This window comes from Homo sapiens, chromosome 2 (genome assembly GCF_000001405.40).
Source record: "Homo sapiens chromosome 2, GRCh38.p14 Primary Assembly".
NCBI lineage: Eukaryota > Metazoa > Chordata > Mammalia > Primates > Hominidae > Homo > Homo sapiens.
The window spans coordinates 2,563,619-2,582,343 of NC_000002.12; the positions used below are offsets into that span (position 1 = coordinate 2,563,619).

At 51.5% G+C, this 18,725-nt stretch overlaps 1 annotated feature.

The window, feature by feature from the left end:
- Window positions 1,639–2,596: an enhancer, noted in NCBI's record as "H3K4me1 hESC enhancer chr2:2569029-2569986 (GRCh37/hg19 assembly coordinates)". NCBI's record gives its function as "activates a minimal SCP1, AML or CMV promoter by ChIP-STARR-seq in naive H9 embryonic stem cells {active_cell/tissue: H9 hESC(naive)}" and the evidence as "EXISTENCE:reporter gene assay evidence [ECO:0000049][PMID:30033119]".

Sequence of the window (18,725 nt, forward strand, 5' to 3'; positions counted from 1 at the left end):
GGCAAGTGAGGCAGGTGAGACAGGTGGGCAGGTGGGTGGGTGAGACCGTACGTGACACCACTCAGGCCTCCTCCCCAAAGGTGGCACCAGCCTGGGCTCAGGAGCCAAGATACCCACAGAGAGAAGGATTTGTGGAGACAGCGGGAATGAGAAATGTTGTTTTGGCAGAATCTTCAGAGATGTGGTCTTTCCAGTGGGCTGCAGGCGGCTGCAGAGGCTCTTGGGGGCAGGAACGCTGTTTCTGGATCTCTGTAAGGTGATTCGGTACAAGGGCTGGGGGAGTCACACAGCAGGGCTAAGCAGGGCAGCTTCATCCCCACACTGTCGGGCACCGTGACTGCTGCCTACCAAGTAAGACCCCAGTTGGTAGTGGGCAGGTGATATGTTTCCAAATCCATAGGCTTCAGATCAGTCACCCTGAGAATACAAAGACGACAGCACCCATTGGAGCCCTTCCTCCACCACTCCCTTGTGATGTGGCCTTGGACCTTTAAAGAAAAGCGGCTAAGCCTCAGCCGGTGTATGTAAACCCAGGGCAATGCTCTCACCTGGTTATCAGGGTTACCTGTAAAGTTCGCATTAAAACAGTTACCATAATGTCTGGGACACCAGGAGACCTAGAAATAGCAGCTATTACTGTTAGCATTTTTATTATTATTTAGGAGAAACACAGAGCCCCAGGTCTCAAAGGCAGTGCCACACAGTGTCATGCACATTATCTTTTGCACCCTCAGGAGAGCCTTTGCAGACAGGCGGGGGCGGGGGGGCACTGTTCTTCCCTCCCCCTCTTCGGGGCTGGAGACAATGGGTTCAAAGAGGGGAGCGACTCCCCAAGGCCACGGAGGCCTCTGAGTTCCCTGAGGCTCCATCCTGAGCATAAGAGCTCCCGTAATCCAAGAAGACAGACGCCCTCTTATTTGCTTAGGAATAATTCCTCCTCTTTAGCAGCACCTATTACGACTTTTGTGGATTCAGTTCTTCCTTCCTCTTGCTGCCTTTACTGCCTGCCTTGCCATAGCAGAAATGTCTCCCACATGGAACAAGCAGGAATTATCTAGCCAAATAGGGTGCTTATTTGTGCGTATGCCCTGCCATCTCTTCCTTCACTAGGGCAAGGGGAGAGAAGAAAAAGCAGACCCAGATGATTCCGTGGCGCAGTCAAAACACAGCGGCAGGCAGCCCTCCACGTTTCGAGAGCTGATTAGGCACCGCGGAGCTGCTGAGCTGCGGCAGGCACCTGGAACTTAATCAGGTCCCCAGGGGCCGGCGCAGTTAGGGCAGCTCCACTTAGGAATTGGTGCTAATTGGCGCCCCTTGTTCGCCCTCTCCCAGTTCACTCCCCAAGCCAGGGTGCAAGTATTTAGAACTCTCGCATCCCTAATAAGATACCTTTCCTGCCTGGGAATGTTCCCCACCTACGAGAGGAGGAGGTAGACATTAAGCAAATGCGTGTGGGCTCACACACACACACACACACACACACACACACAGACACAAAAATACATCGACACACAACACACACACTCATAGAGACAAGCAGACACAAACACATACACAAACATTGTTGCACACTCGATACACACACACACTCTCACACACCAGACACACACACCCCAGCGGTTCCTGTGTTGTCAGATGATGGGTGTCATGGATTGAATTGTGTGCCCTTAAATTCATATGCTGAAGCCCTCGCTCCAGTGTGGCTGTGTTGGAGACAGCCCTCATGGAGGTAACTAAGGTTAGATGAGGTCGTCAGGGTGGGCCCTGACCCGACAGGGCTGGTGTCCCCATAAGAGGAGGAAGGGACACAGGGGGTGTGTGTGCACAGAGGAAACCCCACGTGAGGACACAGTGAGAAGGCGTCGCTTGCAAGCCCAGAGAAGCAAGTCAGTCGGTACCTTCATCTTGGACTTCCACCTCCAGGGCCTTGAGGAATAAAGCTCTGGCCTATGTGCCTGGCCCGTGGTCTCCATTAAGGCAGCCCCAGCTGACTGAGACAGGGGGTCTGCACACTCTGCTGTGGAGGCAGAGACAGGTGCCACCGTACTGGGGGTCACCGTCTTACCGGGGGTCACTGTCTTACCTGGAGTCACCGTCTTACCGGGGGACTTGAGAGGTGGGTGGAGCTGACCACTTTCCGGGAGGAAAGGAGTCTGACAGAAAGGCCGTTCCTCACTGGAGGACAGCGTTTGCTAAGGTGGAGGTCTGGACAGCGCTGACCCTGGAGAGCAATCAACTCAGGTTGCAGCTCAGGGGCGACACCGGACATGGCCTTGCTGCTGGCAGGCAGCCATATGTACCCATCTCGTGGGCCGAGGAAGCCCCTGATATCTTCCAGGGCATACTCCAGTCTCCTGGTAGTGGGTGAACTGCAGAGTTTGGCTGGAAGGAGCAGGGGCCACACGGGACTTGTTCCCGCCTTGGGTTGGGGCGAAGGGTCTACCGTGACCTGTGAGCACCCCACGCCGCCACTGCGCCAAAGGAAACTCCGTGAAGAAGGAAGGACACCCACTCACGGCTTTTCCTGAGAATTTTTAAATGCTTATAATTTACGGTAGGGAAAAATTAGTTGGAAAAATTCAGCTCTCACAGAATTAAGATAACGAAACTGTCTATTCTTAACACAACTGTGTTTTCATTCAGATTAATTTTGTGGTTTGAAGTCACTATTTCAACATTAAGTTTATTTGAATAACGTTTCTTGAACCCCTGAACTGTCATATTATGGACAGATTGAAGCGGGGGGCGGGTTGTTTTGTTTACACACAGCTATCAGCCAGGAGTGTGCATCAGGCCTTCTCTCCTGCCAATTTGCAGCTAGAAAATCAGCTGGCCTGAGTATGCTTCATACGCGGCTTCATGTTTGTCACTGACCGCACTCTGTGAGTGATCCGCAGCCTGTGGGGTTGACGTCAGGGCGGTGGAGACGTGTGGGGCTGAGAGTGAGGGGAGTTCAGAGGCACAGAAGCCACCCAAGCGACCTGGAGCCAGTCCCTTCCCACTGTGAGCTTCAGTACCCTGGGCTGTAAAACGTCACGGGGTCCAGCACCAGGCTTCCCTGGGAACCTGCAGAGGCTTCAGAAGTTCAAACTCTCAGGCCCAGCCCCATAGACCCAGTGACATCCCCCGCATTCCCAGTGAGAGACAGCCACACCGAAGGTGGGAAACCCGGGCTGGGGGACGTCCAGAGCACGTCCGGCCTGAAGGTGCACGGACACCGGCCTGGGCCTAGATGGGAAGGGCCAGATCTTCTCAGGAGAGGTAGAATATTGTCGTAGGCACCTGGCACTAAGCTGTCCACAACATCATTTAATGTTTTCAGTGAGCTGGCCATTCTTTGCCCATCTTCAGAGCCACCTTTATGGGTGTAAACTGGGCCATTCAAGCCAATACTCAGGTATGGAGGAAGTCACAGGGGTACCAGGAGAGAATTAGGTGCAACGTCCCACGAATGCTGGACACCTGGCGCCACCACCATTGACTCAATGACCCTCAGCAGTGGGCACAAGTCCTCGAAGCCTCAGCTCCTCCAGATGGTCACCGAGAAACTGGGCCTGACAGAGCTGGAAGGCCACTCTAGCCTTTAGAGATTACGGGTCCAGGTACACGGGCTGATTCTGCAGTGACCTCAGAGGCTCTTTCAAACTGCTTTCATGGGATATGCTGAAATCCTCTATATGTTCTAGTCCTGTTTCTTGCCTAAATACATAATGTGGGAAAATGGCATCTGGTTTTTTAATTTTCCTGTTGTCTTCCTGTAAGTTGGATACGTTTTCACTCTTATGAATCTGTTACAGTGTCACTGATTTAATAAACATTTGTTTAATGAATTTTGTCTCACCTACTTTGTATTGTTGAAGCTTATTCCAAATGACTCCCTTACAGAAGTTAACTAAATGTCATTAAGGTGGGTACAAGGCACCATATTACTATGAGCTGTGATGAGGAAGTTCAGCCCTTTTCACAGTGGAAATTTTTCAAATGTCTGCTATGTGCAAGAAGACAACTTAGTGCCTTTCAGCTGAACTCTTGCTATTCAGGAATCACATTTCCATCTTGACCTGTGATAAGGAGCTGTCTCTCTGCCTGTGTCTTGCTGAACACCTAGGAAATGGGGCAGCTAATGGGGAGAGTCTTGTTCCCAAACAATGAGCTCCTGGCAGAGGAAATGGCCCGGGGTGAAGGGAGCACAATACTGGGTGAGGAATATGAGAGCATCCGACACCAGCAAGCAGGCTCTGGGGCCAGGACCAACACAGAATGTCAAAGCATGCAGAGCCTCGATCGTAAAAGGCAGAAGTTCAGTGGAGTCTGGACTCTGTCACTCCCTTAGAAAAGTGATAGGATGACCTCGCGCTGCTGGGTGGAGCGTAGCCCTTACCTGCCCCGTCCTCAGCCCAGGTCGCCTGTTCAGTGACACTCACAGGAGCCCCCTGCATGGAGCTCAGTACTCTGCTGCCACAGTCCTCTCCGAATATTTAGTGCCCCAGCACGTGAGGCAGCTGCGTGGCAATGGAGTCGATTCCAACAAAACTGGAATGGAAGCGCCTTCTCCCGTCCTCTGCACATGGACCCTACAAATACCCCTGAAAGTGTCCACCACGTGCCTGCTGTGTTCTAGACACTCACGATTCAGTGCTGAACTAGACAAGATTCCGTAAGGTTCACTTCCTAATAGGGGTTACAGATGGAATACACATCGACTGAAAATATAATGCCTACTTCTAATAAGTGCTATGATGAAAATAATAGACTAAAAAAGGGAAGTACTTTGTTTAGATCGGGAGGCAAAGTTGTCCCTCTCAGGGTGCGTTCCTTGATCTGGCAGCAGACTGCCTTGAAGGAGAAGACCTGGACAAAGCTACCTGGGTGGGGAGAGCTGATGGGCAAAGTCTTCCATGCTAGAAACAAACCAGGTCAGTTCCGAGTGGAGGCCCATGCAGCTGGAGCTAAGAGGCAGGTGATGGGATCAGGCAGGTGGAATGAGCACCTGTCAGTGTGCAGCTGTCCGGGTGGGCGATGGAGAAGGCCACACTCAGCACTCAGCGTGCAGCTGTCCGGGTGGGCGATGGAGAAGGCCACACCTGGGGTGGCTGTGGTGAGGAGACAATCCCGTTCCAAGCGTACTCTGATGGGAGAATGAACAGGACCTGCTGAAGGTGGAGAACTGTTTCCATCTTCCTTTCCTCAGTCTCTCAGGGACCCCTTGGCTAGAACCTGAGCTTCTCCAGCCATCGGAGCAGAGCAATGGGATGGTGCCATCCTCTCTTGATGGGCTGGCCCAGGCCTAGGAATTTAAATGTCCGGGAAGGAGAACACCAGGGCAAGGTCCACATCGCACCTACAGAATGAGCATCTAAGCGGAGTATTTCAGGTAACTCTAGGCCAAGACGGGGGAGATTGAAGAACCTTTCCAGACTGGTGGCTGACCTCCTACTAGATACAGCATAATGCTGGCTGGGGCTGGACGGAAGAGGGCTGCATTTTCCTCCTCGCTGTCTGTTGTAAGAGCATGCCTTTGAGGCATTTATTTTTGTACCACCTACAGGTTGCATCATGGGTGAAAACAGAGCCCTCAAGGCATAAAAACCATAAGCCTTCGGTGGATGTCATGATACAATACAAGGGGCTGGATTGACTCTATTTTTCAGGAGTTCACCTATGACAGGTGCCCACTGGAAATGGGGAACCTTGTGTTGGAAACCTAAAGCATGTCAGGGGAATGCCCAGCAGGGGCCCTGCACTGCATGTCCTGAGACAGGATCCCCGCGACAGCTGCACATCCTCAGCTGCAGTGAGGGGTGAGCAATTGTGTCCAGAGGTTTCCTGGGAGGTAGCATGGGGAAGAACCAGGTAGTGCAGGGACACAGGGGATGAGGAAGAAGGCGGCGTGGATCCGTGGGCAGTGGGGGCAGGACGTGCGTGTCCCAGGCTGCGGAAGCAGCTGTCATTCCTGGCCAGGCACAGCCATATCTGCAAATTATGGTGTTGTACCGGCAGGCATCATGTCAAGTCTTCTCCCTAGATCTGAGCTCAACCTTTAGAGATCCCCGTTGACTGCCCGGCTGTGGAACAGTGGGCTGGGCAGGGGACACTGAGGCATTGTGACCCGTGAAGGCCAACAGAGGTCACAGGGATAATTGTCACTTTCTGACACCATCATTGGAGTCTTCTGGGTCATTCCATGGTCTGAAATGGAAAGTTTCAATCTGAAAGCAAAACCTTATGTGAGCTTATTAGATGGAACAATTCAGAAAGCTCTCTAGGGAAGGAGCAGGCTGGAAGTCCTCTCTGGCTTCCACCAGCACACGCATATTAGGAAGCTGGCTATTTTCCTGGAAGGAGGAAGGTGGTCTGGGGCAGACAAGCGTGGGCTGGATTCAGAACCATGCTGCTTTGCTTTGCTGTGGGAGACGAGGACCCAGGAGGTTTGGCTGCTGCTGTGGGAGGGCTCCATCCGGCAGGCCTGGGGACAGCTAGTCCAGCCCTGCCTTCCCAGACAACACAAGTAATTAAAGAGGAAGGCTTTGAATTGTGGTCATGACATTATTACCAGAATGTTCTAGGGACCAGTAGATGGAGAAGCAATTGTAATTAATGGAAATTTTACAGGCAATAGCATTAGGATTCAGACGTGGTCTCAAAACCTCGAGTGTCGTCACCTCTGTGACAGGACAGCTGAGGGCAGGCTCATGGGTTTCCTGCAGCTCGCACAGATGCTGGGATTTGAATGTCGAGATTCTAACCTCACATCACAAAAAGGAGAAGGGCCTCACACATGTGGTGAGAACCGGGAGGCTCCGGCAGCCTCACACAGACCACTCAGTTCAGGCAGTGAGGCTCGGCGGGGCAGGCAGAACCAGAGACCCCCAGGATGGCACCATGGGCACCCTTCAGGAGGGAGTCCCTCCCCCGTGGCCAAGTGGTGCTGGTGGTAAAGTTCGGGTTGAAATTTGAAGAGAAGGCAGCATTGGCTGACCTAAGGAACCTGGAACTGACCAAGAGTTGCGGTGGGGTAGTGGGGCAGACACTGGGGGACGGCGGAATGAGGCAGACATGGCTGAGTCCCTGAGGCAGATGCCGTGGGCATGGCTCCAGGCCATGGGTGGCTGCTCTGGTTTGGTCAGATGGATCTCTCGAGGAGCTAGAGCCATGGCCAAAGAGGCCAACCTGGCTCTTAGTGTGCAGCTTTGTTTCTGGTCAAGGTTTCTGCGGTCACCTGGGTATCCTCACAGCCCCTCACTCAGCAATCCAGTGTCCAGTCTACCTGGGACAGATTTGGCACATGCCAGTGACTGTCCAAGTCTCTAGGAGGGAAGGCACACAGCCCATCCAGGTGCACTTAGCAGGGGTGTGAGGGGCTAGCTTGAAGACCCCTGACAGGTGCCACACTGGCCCCCCTTGACTCAGACCCCTAAGCGGGCTTCAGGCTCTCCTCTGTTCCCAGCAAAGCAGATGCAGGCCCCAGGGAAGCCTCGTCCCTGTCCGCTGACCGACAGGAGGGAGGGTGACTGGGCACTGGCCACAGGGTTCAGAGCCTGTGGCAGAAATTCCCACCAAGCTCAGAGGTCCATGCAGACTTCCTGGGCTCTGCTTGTGGGGTGCAGGCAAGGGTGCCCATGGCCACCCGAAACCTGGGCTTGACCCAGGTACCCTCAGGAAGGAAGGCCCTGCTGGACTATACCCGGCCTCTCGTACCCCTTTCCCAGGTTCAGACTTTCCAGCCCAGCGGTCCAGGGCCATAGCTTCCAGGGCTGGCAGGGACCTGGTGACAGGAAGGGCCCCTCCCAAAAGCAGAGCTGACCTTGGCCCTCAGGTGAAGTGGCCTCAGGGGCCGTGAGCACCCACCATGTCTGCAAAGGGGAGAAAAGGGGTGGCTTGTGGTGACAGCAGCCTCTCCTATGGCAGGAAACGCGGCTGGAGAGGGGCCTTGTCACCCCTGCCGGGCCCCCGTGGAGGGTATCTAGAGTCCGGCAGATGGCGGGGCCAGCACCTGAGATATCCCGTTCCCCTGCTATGCTGGAGAGGGCCATGGTATGAAGTGGGGGGCTTCACACTGCCCCCGGCCCTGATCTGGGAGGCCCTTCCAGGCGAAGGCGGCTCCCGGCTTCCCCTTCCTGCTGCCCCTCTTCCTCCCCATGCCCGCCTCTCCCCCCACGCCTGCCTCCTCCCTCCCGCTCCTCGCTGCCTCCTCGCCTCCAGGCCACAGTTTCTGTAGCTGGGTCTTCAGACTTCAGAAGTGTCCTTTTATTGTAAAGACTTCAGTGGTTTCCTAGAAAGCGCCGGATTTTCGAGCTTTCTTCCTGGCGGGGTTGCTTTGTCCTGCGCGACAGCAGGAGTTGTGGGCGGCCGCTGCAAGGCCCGCGCTGGCCCCGTCTCCCTTCGCAGGTGTCGAACCAGGAGTCACCTCCGCATCTGCGCAGCAGCGGGCCCGGCGGAGGGGCTCTGTCCCCACCTTCTCCCCCTCCACTGCCTCCCGGATGGGGACGGAGAAACAGGGGTCCCGACAAGTGTCCACAGCAAATCAGATGAACACCTTGACTCCGAGCAGGGAGGCTCCTTCTGATTTGCCCTGTCCTTCTTCCAAAATGACAGAAAGATTCAGCAATGGCTTCAAAGAACCTTAAATGGCACATTTCTCTAAGAGACACAGAGGAAAGTCGGTTTAAAAGGCTTCTAAGTAATTGGATTGCCAGGCTTTTCCCACCGATGGAGAAAAGAAAACAGGCGTCACACAAACACAGGCCACACACGCCACACACGCCACACACGCCACACTCCACACACGCCACACACGCCACACACACCACGCAACACACACATCACACGCCACACACGCCACACTCCACACACCACACACCACACAACACACACATCACGCGCCACACATGCCACACACGCCACACACCACACACGCCACACACACCACACACATCACACACATCACACTACACACCACACACATCACACTCCACACACCACACACGCTACACACGCCACACACGCCATACACGCCACACACGCCACACACCACACACGCCACACACGCCACACTCCACACACCACACACACCACACAACACACACATCACGCGCCACACATGCCACACACGCCACACACGCCACACACGTCACACACACCACACACGCCACACACATCACACTACACACCACACACATCACACACATCACACACCACACACCACACACATGCCTCACACACACAGGCACAGGCACACATGAGGAGAAAACACACAGACACACACAGCACACGTGCCACAAACACACCACAGCCAGAGAAAACACACAGGCACACACACCACACACGTGCCTTGCACACACAGGCAGAGGTATACACATAGAGAAAGCATGCAGACAGGCACACACCTCACACATGCATCACACACAGGCACATGCACACACGGAGAAAACACACAGACAGGCACACACACCACACACATACCTCACACACACCACATACAGAGAAAACACACAGACAGGCACACACACCACATACACCACACACATGCCTCACACACACATGCACAGGCACACATGAGGAGAAAACACACAGACAGGCACACACACCACACATGCCACACACACACCACACACAGAAAACACACAGACAGGCACACACACCACACATGCTACACACACACCACACACAGAGAAAACACACAGACAAGCACACACACCACACGTGCCACACACACACCGCACCTAGAGAAAACACACAGACACACATACCACACATACCACACACGTGCCTTGCACACACAGGCACAGGCACACACATGGAGAAAACACAGCCAGGCACACACACCACACATGCCACACACACACCACACACAGAACACTCGCAGACAGGCACACACACAACACACATGCCACACACACACCACACACAGAAAACACACAGACAGGCACACACACCACACACATGCCACACACATAGGCACATGCACACATGAAGAAAACATGCAGACAGGCACACACACTACACACATGCCTGGTGATGTCATGGTGATGTGGTGATGTCATGGTGAAGTGGTGATGGCATAGTAATGTGGTTGTGTCATAGTGGTGTGGTGATGTCATGGTGATGTCAAGGTGATGGGGTAGTAATGTTATGGTGAGGTGGTGATGTCATAGTGATGTGATATGGTGATGTCATGGTGATGTTGTGTGATGCAGTTGTAATGTTATGGGGAGGTGGTGATGTCATAGCGATGTGATGTAGTGGTGGGACAGTGGTGTCATGGTGATGTGGTGATGTGTGGTGCTGTCCTGGTGATATGATCGTGGTGATGCCGTGGTAATGTTATGGTGATGTGATGTCATGGTGAAGTGGTTGTGTTGTGATGTGGTGACGTCGTGGTGATGTGTTGTTGTTATGGTGAGGTGGTGATGTCATAGTGACGTGAAGTGGTATAGTAGTGATGTCATGGTGACATCGTGGTGATGTGGTGACGTCGTGGTGATGTGGTGTTGTTATGGTGAGGTAGTGATGTCATAGTGACGTGATGTGGTGGTATAGTGGTGATGTCATGGTGACGTCGTGGTGATGTGGTGACGTCGTGGTGATGTGGTGATGTCACGGTGGGGTTGTGGTGATGTCATGGTGATGTCATGGAGAGCAGGTTCAATGGGAGGGTGAGGAGTTCTGCATGGGACTGAACACCCTAGGGTGTTGTGAGCCTCACTGTGATGATCACCTGCCCAAGGCAGGTGGACTGTAGGTGCTGACCTTGGGGCTGGACCTCCCCCTGCATGGCACTGGCTGGGTGGACCCAGGCATAAGGAGCACCACATCCTGCCTGGGACAGCGAGCTGTTGGGGAGCCATCCTCCAGCAGGACCAGGAGCTGTCGGGGAGTCATCCTGGAGCAGGACCATGAGCTGTCGGGGAGCCATCCTGGAGCAGGACTGTGAGCTGTCGGGGAGCCATCCTGGAGCAGGGAATAAAGAGTAGCTCAGCCTTCAGCCCATGCTTAGGACCCCTGGCTGGGAGCTGAGGCCGCAGCCCGTGAGCCTGGCTATCAGAATGAGGCTCAGGAAAATTTGAGGTCCAGAGCCCACAACCAACACAGGGAACAGGATGTTAACCCAGGTAAACAGCTGGGGTGGAAGATTCTTCCAGAAGCTCTTCTGTCCCGTTTTCCTCCGTGCTGGCTATTGCCTAACCTCTCAAAGTGTTAGAGATGATGCAGGTCTGGCATGGAGATACCCGCAGGGAAGCCCCTGTCTCTGGAGCAGGGTCCAGCCATCCTGTCTGCATCCCTGCACCCACCCTGGAGGCTCTGCTGGGCTGCCCTGCCCCTCCTGCTGGCCTCCAATCCTGCTGTTCCCCCGGACCCCCACAGGCCACCGCGTCCGCTGGCCCTCATTGCATGTTTATCAGACTCGGGGGCCAGGCAGGCCCACTCTCCCTGGGCCCCCGCAGCTCCAGACCCTACCTGGCACAAAGTGCTGGCTATTTGTCCTCAGGATATTGTAGTTTTGAAAGACGAGACTCCTTGCATGAGATAACAGCTTTAAGGATCAGTGAAACTGATTCCATTCTAAACACAACTGCAGCAGGGATGGTCTGCAATACAGTGAGTGGTAGCAGAATCAAAGGGTAAGAGCTGAGTTCTACTCGTGAGGGGCTTCCCGTCTAGCAGAGTAACCGGAAGGAGTCCACCAGACAGGTGTTCAAGCTACGCTTTCCTGAGTATGACTCTGTATCCGTAGCCAGCTGATGAGCTACGCTTTCCTGAGTATGAATGACCCTGTATCCGTAGCATATGCGCCTGACCGTCTCAGTGCAGGGGATGATGGATGGATGTCCAATGGCTTCCTCGGGCTGATGGTACTGCTTAGTGAGAACCAACTGTTAAATTTTCAGGAATTTTGTGAGCCAGTTGATGTCACATAAGTAGCTTGAAATCAGCCAAGCAGGAGAATTTACATCACAGAAATGGGCAAATGCTATAATTTTTTTAGAGCCAGTTATTAAGCATCTACTAACATACCACTTATTAAACCCATCTATTAATTTGATTATTTAACAGTAATTGTTTATCAAGTAATAATTATGAGCATGACACTCAGATATGCATAAGATAAACAGGAGAAAATAGGTTTTTCCTAAGTAATTCCCCTTTAGCTTTGGAGCCCTAAAAATTGAACTATGTGCCTAGGGAACTGCCTGAGTGCTGGGTGTGCCAATGTCCTCTACCTAATGGAGATGGCAGGTGTCTCTCTGTGAGCCCTACTTGCCCTCTACCACTGCCCCAGTACAGGCCATGCTAGAACATGTATTGATAATGCTTTATGGGGAGGGGATGCTGTATTAGAGTTTCTGGTTTGCTTCTCAGGCTTCAAACACCAGAGGAGTTGACATCAGTGACCCTAACACTGGAGTGACTGGTGGGAGTTATGACACCGCCAGGGATCTCGGACCAGAGGCGCAGCCCCAGAGAGTGACAGTGTGCACTCCATGCAGTGTGGGGCTCACAGCCGGAGATCTGCCTAATTCTCTCTCTTCCAAACCTGCAGTTCCCAGTCCTTGGGGAGCTCCCTGACAAGTGCAGAATGGGACGAGCATGCAGGGGCAGCACCTGGCTTTAGGGGTGTCTCACCTGCCTGTCTGACTTGCTTACAGGCCTGAACCTCCATGAGGGTTGCCTGTGCAGTTTTTCATCCTTGTCTCCCTGGAAACAAGGACAGAGTGAAAACAAATAGAAGTCAATAATTTCTTGTTAAACAATGAATGAATAACAGAAAGATCCAGTTATAATAGGTCCAGTTGGCAGCTGCATTCATGTAAGAATGACCTATCCTATGGAAAATACTCATCAGACGTGCTATGTTCCACCTAAGCATGGGAGAATGAAGAACAGAGAGGAGGTGGGGAAAAGGAGGAAGGGTAGGGGAGGGAAGGGGAGAAGTGGGGATGGGAGGGGAGGGGAGAAATTTATTTTAGTTGAGACAAGAAAGATTTAAGATAGGGACTAGTAATAAATTTCTTTCTCTAAAGGTTGTTTTTAAAGAACATTATGGAAAATGGTCTCTTAAATAGTACAGAAGTTAGAACAATATTTGAGAAAAATTTCTGAAAAATTATCATCTGGAAACAAGTAATTTATTTGAGGCTAAAGACAGTAAAATATTGAACTTTTTACAGAAAGTAGAGATTATCTCTCTCTCTCAGTCTCTCTGACACACACACACACACACACACACACACAAGCACAGCTGACTTCCTTATTCCCCTACTCATTAACCATGTGGTAGATTCAAATATCCAGCAAATGTCCAACAAACGTCTTTAGATCTTGGCCAAGACACCCAGGAAGGTGCCCTCAGCATCCCAAGTCACCAACCATAAAAACACAGAAACGATGGGGCTTAGATCCAGCCATCTTTTATTTTAGAATGTACTGGGAACAGAGGATTCCTGGGGTCATAGAGACGATGAAAGCTGTTGCTGATTTACAGTATGGGCATTAAAGCCCATTTGCCTTTTCCATCAGCTAGAAAGGGCAGGACAGTCACATGGCAAAATACACACCTGCTTAAACTGAACTTACTCTGGAAAACTGTTTGAAATATCCCTAGGCTAGAATTAACGAAATTATTAACAGTAAAGCTATGTTCAGAAAAAGAAAACAAAGTGGAGATCTTCAAGATGTGAATTACAGAGACCATTATACTATTTTAAAAAATCAGCGTCCACATGTCTTAAACTGCTTTGTCCCTGGCATTAGGTCACGTACATCACAAAGCGCTGAAATATCACCATTGTTTGCAGGAACACAGCATAGCAGCCCCGAGTGTACATGGGGAAGCCTTTAAATCAATGCGGGCAAACAGCTCTGCCACACACCACGTGGGTGTTCTGGCAGCTGGCGATGCACGGCCCAGAATGTGTACTTGGAAGCCGGGAACGGGGCCTGGGCCTTGGTCTCTGTGGCTTTCGTTTGCTCTACCCTGGGATTTGCAAATCCAGAGTGGAGGCTGTGGTATTTCACTGAGATCATTTGGAAGCCACTTCATATTCTTCTGTGACACAAGATTCAAAGCTTAATTTATCAGATCTAAAGGCACCGTTTTTTCTTCATTGCCCGAGGCAAGAAGCCAGAGGCACCGCTGCATGTAATTAACATCGCATCCAACACAGACGGACCTGGACCCGGCGTGGGCAACGCTTTTCTTCCGGGATATTTATTGATGGGTAACTTGATTTAACAACAATTACGAAATAACCATATATTATACCAGAAGTCCCTAAATTGTGTGTACGTGCATTCAAAATAATTAGTAATTTGTCTTTTTAAAAATAATGTGTGTGTTAATTCAAGTTAAGTGTTTCTGAACACTAAAGTATTTCCCTTTAAAGATTTAAAACAATCTCAGCAGTTGGGGTGAAGGGGGTTTTAATAATTTTAATAAGTTTAAATATGTGACTACAATATATACAATTATACATATATATTCATGCACGCATATGTGCACATATGTGCACACACATGCACACAAATATGTCACATTGCACAGGGTCAGCCTGCTGCTGGGTGCCCTGTGAACCTGAATTCTTCATCTCAGCCACTGAGCCTGCTCCCTCTGTCACCCACTTACTGGTTCGTCCACCTCCAGGCACAGCCTCTTCCAATCCATCCCTGCACACTGGAGTGACCTTTGTGAAATGAAAATCCTCATACTCTTCACACAAAAATTAACGGAAACAGTATGGTAGATTTACACATAAAACTAGAAAACCTTTCCAAAAGAAAACATGACAGAAATCTATGTGGTCAAGGATCAGTTCGACACAGCATCCAAAGGCAGGAGCCACAAGGGAAAATTTGGTTATCTGGACTTTATAGAAATCAAAAACGTTTTTTGTCTATGAAAGTCTCTGTTAAGCAGATGAAAAGACAAGCTACAGACTTGAAAAAAAAACAGTTTCAAATCACAAATCCAACAAAGGACTTGTATCCAGAACATCCAAGAACTCTCAGCTGCACTGGGTAACAGTTTGGCAGTTCTTTACAGAAATAAATACGAATTTACCATATGGTCTAGCAACCCTGTACTTGAGTATAGAGCCCAGAGAAATAAAAAATTAATGTTAACAAGAAAAAAATCTGGAAATGAAAGTTTATAGAAGTGGTGGTCATAATCACCAAGGCCCAGAGGAGAAGATGAGGGCCCATCATCCTTTGACAGGTGAGTGGATAAAATGCGGCACATTCGTGCAATGGAGCCCAACTCAGCAGTGAAAGGGAAGGGAACATTGATGCCCAAGGCAACTTGAGCAGATCTCCAGGACTTTTTGGAGCCAGTCTCAAAAGGCTACAAGCCAGACGATTCAGTTTGCATGATATTCTAAAAATGACGTTTCTCCCTTTCTTTTTTCTTTTTCTTTCTTTTTTTTTTTGAGACAGAGTCTCGCTCTGTTGCCCAGGCTGGAGTGCAATGGCACAATCTTGGCTCACTGCAACCTCTGCCTCCCAGGTTCAAGCGATTCTCCTGCCTCAGCCTCCCTGAGTAGCTGGGACTACAGGCACACGCCACCACGCCCAGCTAATTTTTGTATTTTTGGTAGAGACAGGGTTTCATCATGTTGGCCAGGCTGGTCTCAAACTGCTGACCTCAGGTGATCCGCCTGCCTCGGCCTCCCAAAGTGCTGGGATTACAGACATGAGCCATCATGCCTGGCTGACGCTTTTCTGATGGAAAACGGGTCCACGGTCGTCAGGGGTGCATGCTGCGTTGTGGCTGTGACTGTGTGGGGGCAGGATGAGGGGCAGGGATCATTCTGCGCGGTTCCTACATGAATGTTTATGTGTGACAAAATGTCAGAGAACTGAACCCTTCTCCTTTCCCGGGGGAGCGGGAAACAGAGCACGTCTAAAACCTGGTAAATCTGAACAAGTCTGCAGCTTTCCTGATATCTTTGTACCCATGTCAATTTCCTGGTGCTGACGCTTTTTTTATTATGTAAAATGTCATCTCGGGAAGCTTGGTGAGGGATATTTAAGGACTCTGCACTATTTTTAGAACCTCTATGTGACCCTAAATTTATTTAAAATAAAGATTTCTGAAAGTTCTTAGTAGATTACCACTGTGATTAAAACGTCCCATAAATGTCACAGCATTCTCAGTCTAAAGACCAAGTGCCTTCCCAAGGCACAGAAAGACCTGTGGGATCCTGTCACTGTCTCCCCTCCTTCTCGCTTCCACCTGCTCTCCAATCTCTCAGGCTTCAGCAAAGCCCTGAGGTCTGTTTTCTCTGCCTCTTGTGGCCTTGCTGATGCCAACAGACTTCCCCAACTATTGACTGAAGATGTCGCTGACCCCCCAGGGTCCAGGCTGAATCAGGCGTCCTCTCTCCGCTGGGACACCAGGCACCGTCTGGCAACAGCTGATGCACTTGTCTGAGTCTTAGTCCACCTGGGCACAAGCAGAGAAAGGACCATGGGTTTCATCTCTGCAATAACTGGCACAATGTGGCTTCCTAAGCAACATACAAGGAGGGCGTATGTCTGGGAGGTACACTGAGGATGTCTGTCGAGGGTGTATGTGCGGGGGGTGCACTGTGCATGTCTGTGGAGGGCGTATGTCTGGGGGATGCATTGTCCATGTCTGTTGAGGATGTATGCATGGGGTGTGCACTGTGCATGTCTGTCGAGGGTGTATGTCCAGGAGGTGCACTGTGCATGTCTGTCGAGGGTGTATGTCCAGGAGGTGCACTGTGCATGTCTGTCGAGGGTGTATGTCCGGGGGGTGCACTGTGCATGTCTGTCAAGGATGTATGTCCGGGAGGTGCACTGTGCGTGTCTGTTGAGGGCGTATGTCCAGGAATGCACTGTGCATGTCTGTCGAGGGCGTATGTGCGGGGGGTGCACTGTGCATGTCTCTCGAGGGCGTATGTCTGGGTTGTGCACTGTGCATGTCTGTCGAGGATGTATGTATGGGTGCGCACTATGCATGTCTGTCAAGGGTGTATGTCCGGGGGGTGTACCGTGCATGTCTCTGGAGGGCGTATGTGTGGGGGATGCACTGTGCATGTCTGTCGAGGGTGTATTTCCGGGGGGTGCACTGTGCATGTCTGTCGAGGGTGTATGTGCGGGGGGTGCACTGTGCATGTCTGTCGAGGGCATATGTCTGGGGGATGCACTGTGCATGTCTGTCGAGGATGTATGTCCAGGAGGTGCACTGTGCATGTCTGTCGAGGGTGTATGTCCGGGGGTGCACTGTGCATGTCTCTCGAGGGTGTATTTCCGGGGGGTGCACTGTGCATGTCTGTCGAGGGTGTATGTCCAGGGGTGCACTGTGCATGTCATGTCTGTCGAGGTTGTATGTCTGGGGGTGCACGGTGCGTGTCTCTCGAGGGTGTTATGTCCAGGGGTGCACTGTGCATGTCTGTAGAGGGCGGATGTCCGGGGGGTGCATTGTGCATGTCTGTCGAGGGCGTATGTCCAGGGATGCACTGTGCATGTCTGTCGAGGATGTATGTCCAGGAGGTGCACTGTGCATGTCTGTCGAGGGCGTATGTCCGGGGGTGCACTGTGCATGTCTCTCGAGGGTGTATTTCCGGGGGGTGCACTGTGCATGTCTGTCGAGGGTGTATGACCGGGGGTGCACTGTGCATGTCATGTCTGTCGAGGTTGTATGTCTGGGGGTGCACTGTGCATGTCTTTCGAGGGTGTATGTCCGGGGGTGTACTGTGCATGTCATGTCTGTCGAGGTTGTATGTCTGGGGGTGCACTGTGCATGTCTGTCGAGGGCGTATGTCCAGGGGGTACACTGTGGGTGTCTGTGGAGGGTGTATGTCCGGGAGGTGCACTATGGGTGTCTGTCGAGGGCGTATGTCCAAGTGTGCACTGTGCATGTCTGTCGAATGAACAGATCAACAGTACAAAGCAGGACGCTGACGCAGGCGCACAGACACGCTCGGCTTCCATAGATACTCTCTACGGAGCAGCCTGCGCTGCCTCGGGGCTCATCCCTCAAGAGGGCGACAGACGCGGGGCCGAGAGTCCTCAAAGAGACCCCCAAAGATCCCGTCTTCCTCTGCTTCCATCCCTCTGCCTTATTTTATTTACCTTTCAAAAAATATGTTTCGAGTGTCCGCTCCCTGCCACGTCCCACTAATGCCCTAGAATAGATGTGAAACTAAGACACTGAGAATCCAGCAAGCACGCTTAAGGAGACAATCACCCCATAGAACAGTAAACTCTGGCTGTGACACAAACACGAGCTCAAGGTGCCAGGGGAAGGGGACCACCTGCCTCACCGGCACAGCACAGCTGCCTGCAGCCATCTCCAGGAGCAGAGCTGGGAGACCTGCCCTTTAAACCGTCCCCGCTGGGGAGCAGCTCCCAGTATCTGGCTGAGTGAGTCCCACATCCCTCTCATGGTTTCTTTCTTCTCTTGCTGTCATCACCTGCTTATTTGAGAATCATTAAAAAGCTTAAATATCTAGAGCATTTTGATTAAAATCCTATTTCACTATAAAATTATTTAGGAAAGACTGATGTCATTCTAATATTAAATGTGATTATAAGAACATATTTGGGGAAACGTCCACCTTTCAAAGTTAATTATCAACTTAAATGACTAAAGAATTGAAAAGTGAAAGAGAAGCAGCCCCCAGGGGGAACACTGGCAGCCAGGGCAGTGCCTGGCTATCACTGGAATGACTCGGATTTACGGCCAGCTGGACAAGGTAGCT